Source organism: Homo sapiens, chromosome 2, assembly GCF_000001405.40.
Source record: "Homo sapiens chromosome 2, GRCh38.p14 Primary Assembly".
In the NCBI taxonomy this organism is placed as follows: Eukaryota; Metazoa; Chordata; class Mammalia; order Primates; family Hominidae; genus Homo; species Homo sapiens.
In genome coordinates this window covers 27,447,186-27,465,278 of record NC_000002.12, presented here as the reverse complement: position 1 = coordinate 27,465,278, position 18,093 = coordinate 27,447,186, and the positions used below count along the sequence as shown (strand labels likewise).

Genomic DNA, 18,093 nt, shown 5'->3' with positions numbered 1-18,093 from the left:
CCCTTCTGCAGTACAATATTCCAAACACTCTCCCATCCTAGATTATAAGAGTATGCCTTGACCAGGCGTGATGGCTGATGCCTGTAATCCCAGCACTTTGGGAGGCTGAGGTGGGCAGATCACAAGGTCAGGAGTTCAAGACCAGCCTGGCCAACATGGTGAAACCCCGTCTCTACTAAAAATACAAAAATTAGCCAGGCGTAGTGGCGGGCGCCTGTAATCCCAGCTACTGAGGAGGCTGAGGCAGGAGAATTGCTTGAACCCAGGAGGCAGAGGTTGCAGTGAGCTGAGATTGCACCACTGTACTCCAGCCTGGGTGACAGAGCAAGACTCTGTCTCAAAAAAAAAAAAAATATGTCTTGGCTGGGCACGGCGGCTCATGCCTGTAATCCTAGCACTTTGGGAGGGCGAGGTGGGCAGATCACTTGAAGCCAGGAGTTTGAGAGCAGCCTGGCCAACATGGCAAAACCTCAGCTCTACTAAAAATACAAAAATTAGCCGGGCATGGTGATGCGCACCTGTGGTCCCAGCTATTCAGGAGGCTGAGGCACAGGAATCACTTGAACCCGGGAGGCAAAGTTGCGGTGAGCTGAGATCATGCAACTGCACTCCAGCCTGGCTGATGCGCGAGATCGTATCTCAAAAAAAAAAAAAGTGAAAAAACAAGAGTATGTCTTTTATTATTTTTACTGCCCCTTCTTGTAACTAGGTTCCCTTTAGCATTTTTTTACTATTCATACCCTTCAATCTATGCATATGTGTATAATCCAGGTTTGGTATAGGAGTGCAGTTCACAGGACAAACTTGGGACTCCAGACTCCTTGAATTCAAATCTTGGTTCCAATTACCAACTTATATAACCATAGAGAGGTTATTTGACCTTCCCAAACCTTGGCTTCTTGATTTTCTCTGTGTAGAATAGGGTTAATAATAGTATTTGCCTCATATGATGATAAAGAAGATGGTAAGGATATTGGTAATGAAGGAGTGATGAGAGAATCTGTGCAAAGTGCTCGATAAATGTCACCTGCTGCCATTTTGGCTAGGAATCATCCTTGATCCCATTTTCTCCAGACTTCCCACATGTAGATTATCAGTAAGTCCTAAGGACTCTGTCTTCAAAACACATCCTGATGTCTCCATCCTTGTGCAGACCACTGCCGTCTCCCACCTGCAATATTGCACAGCCTCTTAATTAGTCGCACTGATACTGTTTCTTGTACCCCTACCATCTATTCATCCCAGAGCAGCTGAGGTCATTTTTTTAAACATAGATTGTGTCATTTTCATGACTGGAACCTTCCATTAGCTTACTGTTTTACTTAGTATAAAACCCAAACTCCTTGTGTGGCCTTAGCCCTGAAGTTTTTTGGCCTCTGCTTCCTTCTCATGCCAGCTTCCTGCTTGCCCATTAGTCTCCAACCACACTGGCATCCTTTTGGCTCTGTGAGTGTGCCAAGCTCATACCTGCTATAGAGCCTTAACACTAGCTGTTCGCTCTCCAGGAATAACTTTTCCCCATCCTGCCATGACTGGCTTTTTCTTGTATTCAGGTCTCAGCTCAAATGTCAGTTCATCAGAGAGACCTCCAACTACCAACTTAAGTGGCCCCTTCAGTCACTATCTATAACAGGGGTATCCAATCTTTGGCTTCCCTGAGCCACATCGGAAGAAGAATTATCTTGGGCCACACATAAAATATACTAACACTAATGATAGCTGATGAGCTTAAAAAAAAAAAAAAAAAAAGAGAAAAGAATCACAAAAAAATCTCATAATGTTTTAAGAAAGTTTATGAATTTGTGTTGGGCCACATTCAAAGCCATCTTGGGCCATGGGTTGAACAAGCTTGATCTGTAATATTACATTACTTTATTTTATTTTTTATTATCTCCAATTTTACTAATTATTTGTCTCCACCAGAATGGAAGTTCTCTGAGAGCAAGGCCCTCATCTTCCTTGGTCTCTATATGTCTCCAGTGACAAGACATTGGCTGGCACATCATAGATGTACATCAATTTGTATTTGCTGAACCAATGAATTAATGATGATTCTATAATAATATTACTATTAATGTTATTGCTTCCATGCCATAGGTGCTTTTCTGCTTTGGGCCAAGTAGCAAAAGCTCGATTCCTGCATGAGACCAATGAGATTGCAGATCAAGTATCCCGGGAATATGCAAGTATTATGCTCCTGATTCATTCTGTCTGTCTCCCAAGCTGATTTCTCTTAGTATTCAGCCCCATGATTCCTAGCTTTCCAGCCATCCCCAGTTTCCTTTACCCTGCCCACCCCACCTTTACCCTCAAGTCAGACCATTTCAGAATTGCTTTTGCTAAACCTCAAACCTTTAAGCTCCATGAAGTGTTTTACCTTCCCAAGTCTTTTGTTTTCTACATCCTTCTGGCCTTCCAATTTCAGCCCTCACAGACAGAATGGCAGCACCTACAGAAAAATCAGAACCTCCTTTTTCCCCCACAGGGCGGAGAAGGAACAGACTTTTATCAGGTCCGAGCACGTCTAGCCATGCTGGAAAAGAACTACAAACTGGCTGAAATGATCTTTTTGGAACAGGTAATAGGAAAAGAGGGACAGGATGGAAGAGGGGATATGAGGGAAAAAGAGAGAAAAGGGGGTACAAACTCAAGGGAGGAAAGCGTGCTGGTGAACTAGGCTTCCAAAGGTTTGGGGAAAACTTTCAAAGGGGTTTATATAGTTAATTTCACCCTTTTCTTAATTTCCTTCTCTTGTGTCAGTCCTTACTTTTCTAGACAAACTTCCTTCTTTGGCCTTTGATTACTACTTTCTTTCATAAGCAGTCTACTACCTCCCCTCCAGTCCAGAGCCTGTCTTTGCAATTCTTGTGCATAGGGGTAGATCCAGGTTTTGTGGGCCGGAAGCTTATACAATTTGAGGAGCTCTCTTTAAGAACAGTTGCCTTAGGCCAGGCGTGGTGGCTCACACCAGTAATCCCAGCACGCTGGGAGGCTGAGGCAGGTGGATCACATGAGGTCAGGAGTTCAAGACCAGCCTGGCCACATGGTGAAACCCCATCTCTACTAAAAATACAAAAAATTAGCCAGGAGTGGTGGCACACGCCTGTAATCCCAGCTACTCGGGAGGCTGAGGTGGGAGAATCGCTTGAGCCAAGGAAGCAGAGGTTGCAGTGAGCCCGAGATCACACAACTGCACTTCAGCCTCGGCAACAGAGTGAGACTCCATCTCAAGAAAAAGAACAGTTGCCTTGGAAAGGGTGTGTGCAAATAAGGAGCCCTGAAGCTTAAGCTTCTTTTAGTTTCCCAGTATTTCTGTTGGTATAGTAGTTAAAAGGCTTTTGGTCCTCATGGGCTGGCATCTTAGCCAGGCTGAGGAGAGCTTGCTGCTTTCTGATCCTCATATCTTTCTGGTGTCCCTCTCTGCTCTGCCTGTTTCCCCTAGAATGCTGTGGAGGAGGCCATGGGCATGTACCAGGAGCTACACCGTTGGGATGAGTGTATCGCTGTGGCTGAAGCCAAGGTACCTGTTTTATCTTCTCCACAGTTGTTCAGAATTTGGTTCTGCCAATTTCAAAAACCTCCTTTTGTCAAGGAGGCCATAGAAACCAGAACAGGGTTGGGGCTTGGACTTGATGTGGTGAGGAGTTAGGATACTGCTGACCCAGGAGGATTCCCCTTGTTATAGAGGGATTGGAGAAGCATGGGAGGCAGAAGGGTAGGAAGGGGGATGTGACTCCTAGTTGTCCTCTGTGCATGTCCAGGGGCACCCAGCCCTGGAGAAGCTACGTCGTAGTTACTACCAGTGGCTGATGGACACACAGCAAGAGGAGCGAGCAGGTGAACTACAGGAGAGCCAAGGGGATGGGCTAGCAGCCATCAGCCTCTACCTCAAAGCTGGGCTCCCTGCCAAAGCTGCTCGGCTGGTGCTGACCCGAGAGGAACTGCTAGCCAACACAGAGCTGGTAGAACACATCACTGCAGCCCTTATCAAGGGGGAACTCTACGAAAGGGTATGCTGGCTTCCTTTTCCTAGCCCTTATCTCCAGAGCTCAGGACCCTTCCCTTACCCAGAGGAGTCTTGGGGTGCAGAGCGCTTCCTGACTGCTGGTGTTCCCTTGTTTTCGGAGCTAATACTTAGTTCTTTGTGTTGTAGGGGTATCATAGTAATGTGGTATGTGTTAACAGGCAGGTGATCTCTTTGAGAAGATTCACAATCCACAGAAGGCCCTGGAGTGCTACCGTAAAGGCAACGCATTCATGAAAGGTACTAGCCACCTATAAGCCATCCTTTACTGTTGTGGACTCTTGCCCATCTGGTTCCCTGGCACCTCTTGTAGGGGTGGGTTGCCCCTACACACCTGTGGGTGTTTCTCGTAAGGTGGGACGAGAGATTTGGAAAAGAAAAAGACACAGAGACAAAGTATAGAGAAAGAAATAAGGGGACCCGGGGAACCAGCGTTCAGCATATGGAGGATCCCGCCAGCCTCTGAGTTCCCTTAGTATTTATTGATCATCTGTGGGTGTTTCTCAAAGAGGGGGATGTGTCAGGGTCACAAGACAATTGTGGGGAGAGGGTCAGCAGACAAACACGTGAACAAAGGTCTTTGCATCATAGACAATGTAAAGGATTAAGTGCTGTGCTTTTAGATATGCATACACATAAACATCTCAATGCTTTACAAAGCAGTATTGCTGCCCGCAGGTCCCACCTCCAGCCCTAAGGCGGTTTTTCCCTATCTCAGTAGATGGAGCATACAATCGGGTTTTATACCGAGACATTCCATTGCCCAGGGACGGGCAGGAGACAGATGCCTTCCTCTTGTCTCAACTGCAAGAGGCATTCCTTCCTCTTTTACTAATCCTCCTCAGCACAGACCCTTTACGGGTGTCGGGCTGGGGGACGGTCAGGTCTTTCCCTTCCCACGAGGCCATATTTCAGACTATCACATGGGGAGAAACCTTGGACAATACCTGGCTTTCCTAGGCAGAGGTACCTGCGGCCTTCCGCAGTTTTTGTGTCCCTGGGTACTTGAGATTAGGGAGTGGTGATGACTCTTAAGGAGCATGCTGCCTTCAAGCATCTGTTTAACAAAGCACATCTTGCACCGCCCTTAATCCATTCAACTCTGAGTGGACACAGCACATGTTTCAGAGAGCACGGGGTTGGGGGTAAGGTTATAGATTAACAGAATCTCAAGGCAGAAGAATTTTTCTTAGTACATAACAAAATGGAGTCTCCTATGTCTACTTCTTTCTACACAGACACAGTAACAATCTGATCTCTCTTGCTTTTCCCCACACCTCTTGGTGCGTGTGTTCAGGATGCCTGGCTCCAGTCCTCCATTCCTCCCCTTCTTACCTATTCTCCATGCTTCATCTCCCTGTCCTACCTTTTTCCTGAGGCCCATCCCTGGAAATCTGGGCTGAGCATCTTTTCTCTCCCTGGCAGCGGTAGAGCTGGCTCGATTGGCCTTCCCAGTGGAGGTGGTGAAACTAGAGGAGGCATGGGGGGACCACCTGGTGCAGCAGAAGCAGCTTGATGCAGCCATTAATCACTACATCGAAGCCAGGTATGGGAGTATGGGAATGTAAAGGAGATTTAGGTGTGAAGTGAGGGGCAGTGGAGCAAGTAAGGACACCAAGGCCTTAAAGAAGAGATCTCAAAATGTAGGTTGAAGTGTGCTTAAAGGGTCCTTTTACCTCCATTCATCTTCATCTTTCATCCTACATATTTATATCTTTCCCAACTTTGCCAGGTGCTCCATTAAGGCAATTGAGGCCGCCCTGGGTGCCCGCCAGTGGAAGAAGGCAATTTATATATTAGATCTACAGGACCGGAACACTGCATCCAAATACTATCCTCTCGTGGCCCAACACTATGCATCCCTGCAGGAGTATGAGGTGAGGAAGAGTCCCTTTCCGCAGCACGAGGCAATGCAGTAGAGGATAACAATGAGAGAACCCAAAGCAGGAAGTGGAGGCAAGTTCACCAGATCCTTCTTTCTGGGCTCCAAACAGCATCATCACCTTGAAGGGGAAGAGAACAGTTTACTTTCCCATTTTCATTCCAGTGTGACACAGATATCGCCCTTCACCCCAGATATATAAAGTGAGTCTCTAGCTGTGTTCCAGTCAGCGTGATTCTTCATGAATAATGCTAACATAGTTATGATATAAAATTGCTTTGCATTGCAGAAATGTGAGGCCCTTTTGGATTCCACTGTTTGGGGCTGGTCTTTCTTTTTAAATGGTAGAATGTATGAGACACCCATACTCATCTTTTCTTCTCTATTATTACAAGGTTGTATCGCAGGCTCTCCACCATCCCAGCCAAGGTTTGTTCTTTCCTCATTCAAGCTGCTTTAAGTCTGTTGCTCTGACCTTTTGTATCTACCTCCCATCAACTACAGATTGCTGAGGAGCTCTATACTAAGGGAGATCGGACAAAAGATGCCATAGACATGTACACCCAGGCTGGTCGTTGGGAACAAGCCCACAAGGTAGGGATGGGTGGAGTTCATGATAAGAGAACTCTGCCTTAGTGGCATTGTGGCCTCATTCCTTGATACCTGTTTCTCCTCTTCGCTTGGCTCCCTGAAAGCTGACAAAGAGTACCAAAAAACAGTCTGAGCCACTTTGATCCCTAGCCATAGGGAAAGGAAGGGATGAAGAGAGGCCCTTGTTTCCAGACCTATCTATCATTCTGAAGGAGCAGATGGGCTTGGGAGCTGGGGAATCTGAACTACCACTCCTAATGCCTCTGGTCACATTGATGACTTTGTTCTTGCGCCTACACTTCAGAGTCCAGTGGTTACCGTGGTAATGGGAGTGTATGCCCCAGCCAAGGCATCGCAGACCTTCCCACCTTAGCAGAATATAGTTCTTCCTCTGCTTCTTATGGACTTGGAATTCCCCAACCTCACTAGTAGAGTGGCAATACCCAAACTCCTGTGATTGTTGGGAGAGTTCAGAGTTTCTGAACAAGCAGGTTTCCTTGAAGCCCTGCTTCCCTGGGGAATTGGATCTGAGGCTGCCTTGCCTCTGTGCCTCCACAGCTGGCGATGAAATGCATGAGACCAGAAGATGTGTCAGTGCTATACATCACTCAGGCCCAGGAAATGGAGAAGCAGGGCAAGTACCGTGAGGCTGAAAGGTGAGCCGTGGCCCCAGAGGAGGTGTAGAGGGAGATGAGATTTCAAGGCTGGGACGAGGGATGGGGTCTGAGGATGTGTACCCTCTGCCCAGAAGGCAGTGATAGCAGGGGTCGGGTCTAGGAGGCCCCAGATGTATCTCCTTCCCCAGGCTATATGTGACAGTACAAGAGCCTGATCTTGCCATCACCATGTACAAAAAGCACAAGTTGTATGATGACATGATCCGCCTGGTAGGGAAGCACCATCCAGATCTCCTCAGTGATACACACCTACATCTGGGCAAGGTGAGCCCTTCTCCTGGCTCTCCCTATCTCTTCCCCAACCAGGCTCCATCTCCCCATCTCTCCATCCTGACTCACCTTCCTGCAGGAGCTGGAGGCTGAAGGCCGACTACAGGAGGCTGAGTACCACTACCTCGAGGCCCAGGAATGGAAGGCAACAGTGAACATGTACCGGGCCAGTGGGCTTTGGGAAGAGGCCTACAGGGTAAGGAGTTCAGGCCACACTGAGGGATACATCCATCCTTCTTTCCCACGTTTTTCCTTTTTTTCAGAAAGGGTCTCACTCTGTCACCCAGGCTGGAGTGCAGTGGTGCAATTATGGCTCACTGCAGCCTTGACCTCCTGGGCTTAAGCACTCGATCCTCCCACCTCAACCTCCTGAGTAGCTGGGACTATAGGTGTGCACCACCACAGCTGGCTAATTTTTTAATTTTTTTGTAGAGACAAGTTTTCACCATGTTGCCCAAGCTGGTCTTGAACTCCTGGGCTCAAGCGATCCACCTGCCTTGGCCTCCCAAAGTGTTGGGATTACAGCTATGAGCCACCTTGCCCAGCCCTTCTTTCCCACTTTAAGTGACTAATTCACAATTGGTCAGAGCATCTTTGAAAATGTAGTGAAGATCAGAGTCTCTCTTGCCAGAACCATGTCCACATCTGTATACAGAAAATTTCACTTATAATTTTAAGGGTCTGTGGACCAGGTGAAGCCTATCCTTGGACCCTAAGTACTTTAACCTAAGTTAAGAAACCCTGAAATTTAGCCCTCTTCCTGTTAACTTTTTATTTTATTTTATTTTTTGAGATGGAGTTTCGCTCTGTCACCCAGGCTGAAGTGCAGTGGCACAGTCTTGGCTCACTGCAACCTCCACCTCCCGGGTTCAAGCAATTTTTCTGCCTCAGCCTCCCGAGTAGCTGGGATTACAGGCACTCACCACCGTGCCCAGCTAATTTTTGTATTTTTAGTAGAGATGGGGTTTCACTATGTTGGCCAGGCTGGTCTCGAACTCCTGACCTCAAGTTATCCTCTTGCCTCGGCCTCCCAAAATGCTGGGATTATAGGTATGAGCCACCACACCCAGCCTCTTCCTGTTCAATTTAGAACAGTTACTGGATCCTTGTCAAAGCCGAGGTCAGAGATGAGAAGGGAGAAGCTCTGTATTGCAGGATTATTGAGTGACTTTGCTTTACAGGTGGCCAGAACTCAAGGAGGGGCTAATGCCCACAAACACGTGGCCTATCTGTGGGCAAAGAGCCTGGGAGGAGAGGCTGCAGTTAGACTGCTTAATAAGCTGGGACTCCTGGAAGCTGCTGTTGACCACGCTGCAGACAATTGGTGAGGCCCCAAGCTTTCTCTCCACGGGCCCCATCCCAGCCAGAGCCACTATCTAGAGAAAGAAAATTGATGTATAACTGAAAGAAAGATCCTTGGAAGGACATGATAGAGTGGCATGAATAAATTAACTGCTTCTATTCCCTAGGGGCTCAGAACAGTGTTTAACCTTTGGCTGTTCTAAGAAGGGTGGAGAGGAAACAGATTGTAAAGCTAGGACTGCAGACTGCACTAAACCAATAACTTACTCCTGGGTAATGGAAGTGTGATTCTGTCAAATGCAGAGTGAACTGTTTTTTTTTTTGAGACAGAGTCTCACTCCGTCGCCAGGCTGGAGTGCAGTGGCACGATATCAGCTCACTGCAACCTCCACCTCCTGGTTCAAATGATTCTCCTGCCTCAGCCTCCCGAGTAGCTGGGACTACAGGCATGCACCACCACGCCCATCTAATTTTTGTATTTTTAGTAGGGATGGGGTTTCACCATGTTGGCCAGGATGGTCTTGATCTCTTGACCTCGTGATCTGCCCACCTTGGCCTCCCAAAGTGCTGAGATTACAGGCGTGAGCCACTGCGCCTGGCCGAACTTTTCTTTTTTTTTGGAAGCACCAGAGTCCGTGAAGCATTTTATTTGTAAATATGTATTACATCTCTAGAAAAAGAATCCCAGGATTTTCCCTCCTATATGTTGCTGTCTTGCTTCTTCATGGTCCATGATGCCAACTGAGGTTGTCAGTACAATAAAACCAAACTGGCAGGATGGGAGCAGATTATTCTGCCATTTTTCTTTTTTGTTTTTTTTCTGAGACAGAGTCTCGCTCTGTTGCCCAGGCTGGAGTGCAGTGGTGCAACCTTGGCTCACTGCAAGCTCCGCCTCCCAGGTTCAAGCCATTCTCCTGCCTCAGCCTCCTGAGTAGCTGGGACTACAGGTGCCCGCCACCACGCCCGGCTAATTTTTTTGTACTTTTTTAGTAGAGACAGGGTTTCACCCTGTTAGCCAGGCTGGTCTCAATCTTCTGACCTTGTGATCCACCTGCCTTGGCCTCCCAAAGTGCTGGGATTACAGGCGTGAGCCACCGCGCCCGGCATATTCTGCCATTTTTCTAGATCTCTGATTTGCACATCAAATCTGGGGCTGATCACTCTACACTTGTTTAGCCTGCCTGTGAGGTTCACAGCAATTTTCCTAGCTGTGATCATCAATTATTTCAAAATCGCCAATTTACCATACTTCAGCATCACAATTAGAAACCAGACGATGACTTTGGAGCACAGCCTAATAAGGACCTGCCGTTTGCCTCTCTTTCTGGCATTGTTGATGCTCTTGAGCACATCAGCCAGGACATTCATGCGCACTATTGCGGCGGTGCAGAAAGATAGCCAAAAGAGCAAAGTGTTCTCAAGCTACTGTTATCAGTGCCAATCATGGAGTCCGATGCTGAGGGTGGTCTTGCTCATTTTTTGGAGAGACTCTGTTTCTGCTAATGTAGCTGGGGCTCAGGAAGAGATGGAGAGCACCAGGAGCCCTCCTAGCCCTGTCAGTGTAGGGCTGCGAGGCTCACTCCTCCCTTCCCCTTCGCAGGCCCAAACTAATTCCTCAGGAGCAGCTGGCCTCAGGGAAGGCATAGGCTTTTCCAGACGTCTCTTGATCCACGCTGACAGTGACATGGTCTTCACAGGGCTGCCTGCCCGTCTTCCTTTTTATCTCTCCACGCTTTTCTGTCACTTCATATTTGTTATCCTTAAATCTGTCACTTTTTCTCCCCTCAACTCTGTCCTTTCTCTGTTTTGTCTTGTTCCTTTTATGAAGGGAAGCATGAAGCAAGAAAACTTTATCTGCACTTTCTGTTTCAGCTCCTTTGAATTTGCGTTTGAACTCTCTCGGCTGGCCCTCAAGCACAAAACCCCCGAGGTTCATCTCAAATATGCTATGTTCCTGGAGGATGAGGTATGGGTGTGATTTGGACCCCGACCGCAGAGCCCTCTTATTCCATCCCCTAGTGCACTGCTGCTGGGTGTGCAGACCCCCAGTCTCATGCCTGCCTGTGATGCCAGTCTCCTTCTCATCATGCACGGCTGCCTTTCTCTCCCTGTAGGGTAAATTCGAAGAGGCTGAAGCTGAATTCATCAGAGCTGGTAAACCCAAGGAGGCAGTCCTCATGTGAGTTACCCCATACATTCCTTAATACTGTTTCCCCAGTCACCGTCCCAGGATCTTTCATGATTATCTTGACCTTCATTCAAACCTAGAACAAATCAGTGTTACACCCCTCAGTGACATGGCTGTTTGTCTCCCACTATTGGGGCCTCAGTCCTATACTCAGTCTCTCCTCTGTCCCCACCTGGAGGCAGGTTTGTCCATAACCAGGATTGGGAGGCAGCTCAGCGTGTGGCTGAGGCTCACGACCCTGACAGTGTCGCCGAGGTGCTTGTGGGACAGGCCCGGGGGGCCTTGGAGGAGAAGGACTTTCAGAAAGCAGAAGGGCTGCTGCTCCGGGCCCAGAGACCAGGCCTGGCCCTCAATTATTATAAGGTGGGGCACTGGATGCAGGGCCATGAGGGGAGGGGGAGAGTTTGTAAGAGCCCACAGAGAGCCACACTGACCCCTGGTATGAAGAAAGATCAGGGAGGTTAGTATTGGGGAGTGGGGAAGACAGGAAAGAGGAGGAGAAGAGAGGTCCAAGGACCCAGGAGTCTGTGGGCCAGAGTACCTGTGTGGCAGTGGGAAGCTGTCAGGCCTGCCTCTGCCCTCTTGATACCTGGAAATCTGAGCAGGAGGCTGGATTATGGAGTGACGCTCTGCGCATCTGCAAGGACTATGTGCCCAGCCAGCTGGAGGCTCTGCAGGAAGAATATGAGCGGGAAGCTACTAAGAAGGGGGCCAGGTATGAGGCCAGAGGTCCAGGCAGCATTGGCAGGGCTGGGAGGGTCATGAGGCATACACAGGATAGAGCATGCTGCCCCCCTACCATGCCAAGTCCCAGCGCTCTCATCTCCACAGGGGTGTGGAGGGATTTGTGGAACAAGCTCGACACTGGGAGCAGGCTGGAGAGTACAGCCGTGCCGTGGACTGCTACCTCAAAGTGCGAGACTCTGGAAACAGCGGCCTGGCGGAGAAGTGCTGGATGAAGGTGAGGACAGCAGGCCCTTTCTGGCCCTCCTTCTCCCTAGGCCTCTATTCACACTTGGCTCTGCTTCTCACATCTTCAGCTCTTTCCTCTTGTGTCTTTTTCTTTTCAATCAGGTAGCAGGAATCTATGGAGTGCCTGCTGGATGATAGAGCCAGAACCTCTGAAGGCTATAAAAGTGGATATAAGACAGAGCCCTGACAGCCAAAAGTTAGGGGAATTAGACCAATAAATGGCTCAATTACTATCATATCTGAGTAAAGACTAAAGTGCATGATTTAAAGTAGAGTTCAGAGAACAGTGAGATCTCTGTGGGCTAGAGGGGTCAGGAAGGCTCTGTGAAGAAGGAGGGAAGACTTGGACAGGAGCTGGAAGGGCAACTCCAGGCACAGGAACTGGCCAGACAGGGAACATGAAAAAAGCATGGGCTCCACCTCCCCCACCCAACATTTCCTGAAAAGAAGCTTCCAGCAAATTAAGCCAGGCCAGTATGTGTCACAAATAATAAGACATACTGTATTGGAGAAACCAACAGGATATATACAGTCATATGCCATATAACAACGTTTTGGTCAACAGTAGACCACATGGGTGGGCATGGTGGCTCACGCCTATAATTCTAGCACTTTGGGAAGCTGAGGTGGGTGGATCCCTTGAGGTGATCCCACGCCTGGCCTTAAATAGGTTTCAATACACAAATGCTTACCATTGTGTTATGGTTGCCTATAGGTAGTCAGTACAGAAATGTGCTGTACAGGTTTGTGGCCTAGGAGCAATAAGCTCTACGCAACCTCTACCTAGGTGTATAGTAGACTATACCATCTAGGTTTGTGCTATGATGCTTACATAATGATGAAATCCCCTAAGGACACATTTCTCAGAACATACTGATCATTAGACAATGCATGACTGTAGGTATATGTGTGTACATGTATATAAAGAGATTTATTAAAAGGAATTGGCTCATGCAGTTATGGAGATAGACAAGGCCCAAGATCTGCAGGTGAGCTGGCAAACTGAAAACCCAGGAGAACTGATGGTGTAGTTCTTGTTTGAAGGCCAGCAAGCTTGAGACCCAAGAAGAGCTGATGTTTCAGTTCAAATCTGAAGGCAGGAAAAAGCCAGTGTCCCAGTTTAAAGGCAGTCAAACAGGAAGAATTCTCTCTAACTTGGGAAGGAGCCAGCCTTTATGTTCTGTTCATGCCTTGAAATGATTGGATGAGGTCTATCCACAGTAGAGAGGGCAATTTGCTTTACTCAGTCTACCAATTTAAATGTTAACCTCATCCAAAAACACTTATAGAAACACCCAGAATAATGTTTGACCAAATACCCGGATACCCTGTAGCCCAAATTGATACATAAAGTTAACAATAACATATATATATATATATATACACACACACATACATATATATAATTATATTTTAATATATTTAAAATTGGGATGCAGGTATAGTTTAAATGACGCACCTTAGATACAGTGAAATGTGAGTGGGGGTCATGAGGGGGGTGAGATTGGCCCTCTAAATGACATATTCGTATGGTGATGCCCCTGCAAAATTTCCCTTAGGTTTTGAGGTTTTTTTGTTTGTTTGTTTATTTTGTTTGTTTGTTTTTTGAGACGGAGTCTTGCTCTGTCGCCCAGGCTGGAGTGCAGTGGTGCAATCTCGGCTCACTGCAAGCTCCGCCTCCTGGGTTTAGGCCATTCTCCTGCCACAGCCTCCTGAGTAGCTGGGACTACAGGTGCCCACCATCATGCCGGGCTAATTTTTTTGTATTTTTTTAGTAGAGACGGGGTTTCACCGTGTTAGCCAGGATGGTCTCCATCTCCTGACCTCATGATCCACAAGCCTTGGCCTCCCAAAGTGCTGGGATTACAGGCGTGAGCCACCGTGCCTGGCCTTTTGAGGTCTTAAAACTCAATAACCCCTAGAAGTTAGAGGGAGAGAAGTAGAAAGAGAGGGGCTGATGATTGGTTTTGAGGTTCTAGCAGATTTTAATCAGCAGTATTGAATAAGCATCTGATATATGTAACTTGGGAGCATGGCATGACTGTACCTTTTTCAGATTAGTCAGAAAATGGCTTCCTGATGCAGACAGGGCAGATTAAGCTTTGAAGGGCTTGGCAGTAAGAAAGGGAGGCAAGAACAGGTGAGGGAAAGACCAGAGGGGATTAGCATAAACTACAGTGAAATTGGATTGTGTGGAAATTGAAATCTGGTAAGGATGTCAGCATCATAATGGAAACAGAGTGATCTCATTGAACACTTGGGTTTGTAGAATTTCTGAGTTTTAAGTGTTGAAAGGTTATCATCAAGACCATCTATACCAGCACTGGCACTAGAAATATAATGCAGGCCACAAATGTAAGCCATACATGTCATTTAAATTTTCTAGTAGCCACATTTAAAAAGAGTAAAAAAAAAAAAAAACAGGTAAAAATAATTGTAATATATTTTATTTAACACAGTATATCTAAAATACACCATTTCATCTGGGCGCAGTGGTACATGCCTGTAATCCCAGAACTTTGGGAGGCCACGGTGGGCAGATCACTTGAGGATCAGGAGTTTGAGACCAGCCTGGCCAACATGGTGAAACCCCATCTCTACTAAAAATACAAAAATTAGCTGGGCATGGTGGTGGGTGCCTGTAATCCCAGCTACTCAGGAGGCCAAGACAAGAGAATTGCTTGAACCTGGGAGGGAGAGGTTGCAGTGAGCTGATATTGTGCCACTGCACTCCAGCCTGGGCGACATAGCAAGACTCTGTCTTAAAAAAATTAAATAAAATACTACCATTTCAACATGTACTCACACACATTATTTAGATATTTTCCATTCTTTTTTTATACTAAATCTTCAAAATCCAGTGTGTGTGAATGAAGAAACAAGTTCATAAAAGCCCAACACAAATAGTTACAGAATGCCCTGGACTCCTTATTTTAGGAGTCCTTTCTCTGTACTCTGCTACGAAGATTTTACTTATGACAAAGACCTTGAAAATGATTTTGTCAAAGGCGGAAGTTTCAAATGCAGTGACCTCAGGCAGCGCAGGAAGTATCTGAAAGAGTTAATGAACTGAGAGGAAAGATAGGTCCACTGATGGCTAATCAAAGGATCTAATGGACCATGAGCCAGGTTTTGCCCAGGAGGGTGCAAGGTTGAAGGGGAGAGTAAGAGAAAAAGTTGGCATCTGGAGGAGAAAAATGTATGAAATGGATGAGGCTGAGGACTCAGCGGTATTTGTCTCTCCTACCCATTTCCATCTTCTGTTCAACCACTCAGGCAGCTGAACTCTCCATCAAGTTTCTGCCTCCCCAACGTAATATGGAAGTCGTTCTGGCTGTAGGACCCCAGCTGATTGGAATTGGAAAGCACAGTGCAGTAAGTAGGATGCTGAGATGGAACAGAAATAGATTTCACAGAGATGGGTGCAAGGGTGACATCTACACCCAGGAAGGTGTGTGAGGTGGGCCTCCTGGTGGGCATGGCTTGCAGTCCTGGGGAAACAGATGGGAGAGCTCACAGTGGGAAGACTGGGAGCGAGGAGAAAGTCTCCACGCTGATTTCCCACTGTGCAGGCTGCAGAGCTCTATCTGAATCTGGACCTTGTCAAGGAAGCAATCGATGCTTTCATCGAGGGTGAGGAGTGGAACAAGGCGAAGCGTGTAGCTAAGGAGTTAGATCCCAGGTAAGCTTGTAACCCCTTCTTACTGCGAAATTCTCTTTTACTTCCTTTTGTAAAGACTGGGAGAAAGTCTTACCGGGAGGGTTGGTATTCTGGAACATGAAGATGGAGCTCTCTGAACATCTTCACAGGTATGAAGACTATGTGGACCAGCATTATAAAGAGTTCCTCAAGAATCAGGGCAAAGTGGACTCGGTGAGACTTGGAGAGTTAGCAGGAGGCAGAATGCAGGGAGAGACTCACAAGACTCTCTCCCTCTTCTTTCCCTCATGTCATCTCTTTTCTCTTGTAACTCTGTCTTCCATTGACCCAGCTGGTGGGTGTGGATGTGATAGCTGCTTTGGACCTGTATGTGGAGCAGGGCCAGTGGGACAAGTGCATTGAAACAGCTACCAAGCAGGTACTGCTCTCTTCCCATTCCCAGTTTTTCTTTACATTTTCCCTTGATTCCCCACCTGCCTCAAAGATGCATCTCTTCTACCTCCACAAAAACCCAAAGCCCAAAGATTTCTAATGGGCATCAGAGAAGCTCAGTCTGAAACTGGGGTCAGAGGTTTGCGTACACCCTTTTTCCCCTCAACAAATACATGGCCTCAAGTCACCTCACTGCTTGGTCTTGCCGATCCCAGCCTCACTCATGCTTTTCCTCCACCCCTGTACAGAACTACAAGATTCTGCACAAGTATGTGGCTTTGTATGCAACTCACTTGATCCGGGAGGGTAGCTCTGCCCAGGCATTGGCCCTGTATGTACAGCACGGAGCCCCTGCTAACCCACAGGTACCAGCCTTCTCCTTGGGTTGAATGTTTCCACAAGAAAGCTCTTTCTCCTCTAGAACCACCTATCTTCTCAGGAACTATCTTCTCAGAGGATTCTATCCTTAGAGAACGTCATGCCCAGAGCCCCCCACGCATCTCCAGAAATGTACAGCCTCTCTGGAGGCTGTGTATTTGCTAAGAGCATGGGGAGGTTTGCAGAAACTTCCAACTTCTGTTTGAAGAAACACCCGTGGAGCTCCCCATGCTGTTAGCAAATACACAGGCACCTGTCTTTCAGAGATGAATCCTGCATACACCTCTAGGGCCTTTATTGACTTCCTCCAGAGAATGAACACTGCTCCCTGATCTGAGTCACAATGTTGTGACTCTGCATTTACATTTGTACAGTTGCCCACACTCACACAGCACCAGCTAAGAAAGTTATTTCTTCCTCTTTTCTCTTTATCAAAAATAATCAGCACTTAAAAATAATTTACTTCATTAAAAATAATCAGCACTTAATAATCTGCCACTGTTGGCCGGGCGCAGTGGCTCACGCCTGTAATCCCAACACTTTGGGAGGCCGAGGCAGGCGGATTACGAGGTCAGGAGATCGAGACCATTGTGGCTAACACGGTGAAACCCCGTCTCTACTAAAAATATAAAAAGTTAGCTGGGCGTGGTGGCAGGCACCTATAGTCCCAGCTACTCGGGAGGCTGAGGCAGGAGAATGGCATGAACCTGGGAGGCAGAGCTTGCAGTGAGCCGAGATCATGCTACTGCACTCCAGCCTTGGGCAACAGAGCAAGACTCTGTCTCAAAAATAAATAAATAAAATTAAAAAAATAAAAATAAATAAAAATAAAAATCTGCCACTGTCCCCCAGCCCTTGCACACACACACATACCCATTTCTACACACAAAGCCTGTTTCTCCTCCCTTTGGCCCCACTTCCAGTGACTTTCTCTTCTAGCTATGCCCTTCTCAGATCCCCTTCTTCCCTCTACCTCTAGAACTTCAATATCTACAAAAGGATCTTCACTGACATGGTGAGCTCTCCTGGAACCAACTGTGCCGAGGCCTATCATAGCTGGGCTGATCTTCGAGATGTCCTCTTCAACCTGGTGAGGAAGCGAAAGGGCTGCTCCGTCTGTCCTTGTCCTCATCTCTTCTTTGATGCACATAAACCTTTATTCTCAGATGTATTTTACCTTCCTCTGCCAGGTGGCTATCAGAGACCACTCTATGGCCCTGGCACTCCTCTGACCCCTGAGCCAGGCTGTGCTGTCTCCCTCCTCTAGTGTGAAAACCTGGTGAAGTCCAGTGAGGCAAACTCTCCAGCCCATGAGGAGTTCAAGACGATGCTGCTGATCGCTCATTACTATGCCACGCGCTCTGCAGCCCAGAGTGTCAAACAGCTGGTGAGATGTAGGGGGTCGAAGGAACACTCAGTCAGAAGGGCTCATCTGCAAATGTATAAAGCTGAATTGATTCACGTTCTGGATTCTTCAGCTTGGGCTCTTGAATCTCCCCACCTGTCTTTCAGCTTCTCTTCTGTCTAAACAAATCTTTAGCCCTTGCTGAGGTTTTCTTCTTCCGACCTTTTTAGGGCTCTGTGCCCACACAGCCTCAGCCTCATTATGTTTAAACATCCAAATCCCATGATTTCTTTATTCACCTCTTATAATGTACACATATTCTGGGCTTATTTTTGACTGTTCACTGTATATTTATTTCATGTACTTGGATG

The 18,093-nt window shown here is 47.3% G+C and overlaps 1 protein-coding gene across 12 annotated transcripts in view, besides 2 other annotated features; it reads left to right on the top strand.

Annotated features, from left to right (window-relative positions):
- Positions 1 to 18,093, top strand: part of IFT172 (intraflagellar transport 172) — a 45,367-nt gene that overhangs the window by 24,465 nt on the left and 2,809 nt on the right. For 9 of the 12 annotated variants that reach the window (XM_047443900.1, NM_001410739.1, XM_006711987.2 and 6 more), the window contains 24 exons: positions 2,098 to 2,182; positions 2,486 to 2,578; positions 3,443 to 3,520; positions 3,762 to 4,010; positions 4,186 to 4,264; positions 5,450 to 5,570; positions 5,757 to 5,901; positions 6,411 to 6,500; positions 7,056 to 7,153; positions 7,303 to 7,438; positions 7,524 to 7,640; positions 8,626 to 8,768; positions 10,619 to 10,712; positions 10,861 to 10,925; positions 11,117 to 11,297; positions 11,540 to 11,649; positions 11,766 to 11,895; positions 15,183 to 15,281; positions 15,479 to 15,588; positions 15,717 to 15,780; positions 15,899 to 15,985; positions 16,248 to 16,364; positions 17,357 to 17,467; positions 17,645 to 17,764. In XM_047443900.1, the coding sequence (XP_047299856.1) occupies positions 2,098 to 2,182; positions 2,486 to 2,578; positions 3,443 to 3,520; positions 3,762 to 4,010; positions 4,186 to 4,264; positions 5,450 to 5,570; positions 5,757 to 5,901; positions 6,411 to 6,500; positions 7,056 to 7,153; positions 7,303 to 7,438; positions 7,524 to 7,640; positions 8,626 to 8,768; positions 10,619 to 10,712; positions 10,861 to 10,925; positions 11,117 to 11,297; positions 11,540 to 11,649; positions 11,766 to 11,895; positions 15,183 to 15,281; positions 15,479 to 15,588; positions 15,717 to 15,780; positions 15,899 to 15,985; positions 16,248 to 16,364; positions 17,357 to 17,467; positions 17,645 to 17,764 (2,722 nt within the window). Of the gene's footprint in view, positions 1 to 1,753; positions 2,011 to 2,097; positions 2,183 to 2,485; positions 2,579 to 3,442; positions 3,521 to 3,761; positions 4,011 to 4,185; positions 4,265 to 5,449; positions 5,571 to 5,756; positions 5,902 to 6,410; positions 6,501 to 7,055; positions 7,154 to 7,302; positions 7,439 to 7,523; positions 7,641 to 8,625; positions 8,769 to 10,618; positions 10,713 to 10,860; positions 10,926 to 11,116; positions 11,298 to 11,539; positions 11,650 to 11,765; positions 11,896 to 12,008; positions 12,143 to 15,182; positions 15,282 to 15,478; positions 15,589 to 15,716; positions 15,781 to 15,898; positions 15,986 to 16,247; positions 16,365 to 17,356; positions 17,468 to 17,644; positions 17,765 to 18,093 lie in introns of those variants that run through there. The other 3 variants (XM_047443903.1, XM_011532758.2, XM_011532760.3) reach the window with 2 other exon arrangements.
- Positions 5,261 to 6,460: an enhancer, noted in NCBI's record as "CDK7 strongly-dependent group 2 enhancer chr2:27681686-27682885 (GRCh37/hg19 assembly coordinates)". NCBI's record gives its function as "activates an origin of replication core promoter dependent on BRD2, BRD4, P300/CBP, MED14 and CDK7 cofactors, with strong dependence on CDK7, by STARR-seq in HCT116 cells {active_cell/tissue: HCT116}" and the evidence as "EXISTENCE:reporter gene assay evidence [ECO:0000049][PMID:35650434]".
- Positions 10,890 to 12,089: an enhancer, noted in NCBI's record as "BRD4-independent group 4 enhancer chr2:27676057-27677256 (GRCh37/hg19 assembly coordinates)". NCBI's record gives its function as "activates an origin of replication core promoter dependent on BRD2, P300/CBP, MED14 and CDK7 cofactors, and independent of BRD4, by STARR-seq in HCT116 cells {active_cell/tissue: HCT116}" and the evidence as "EXISTENCE:reporter gene assay evidence [ECO:0000049][PMID:35650434]".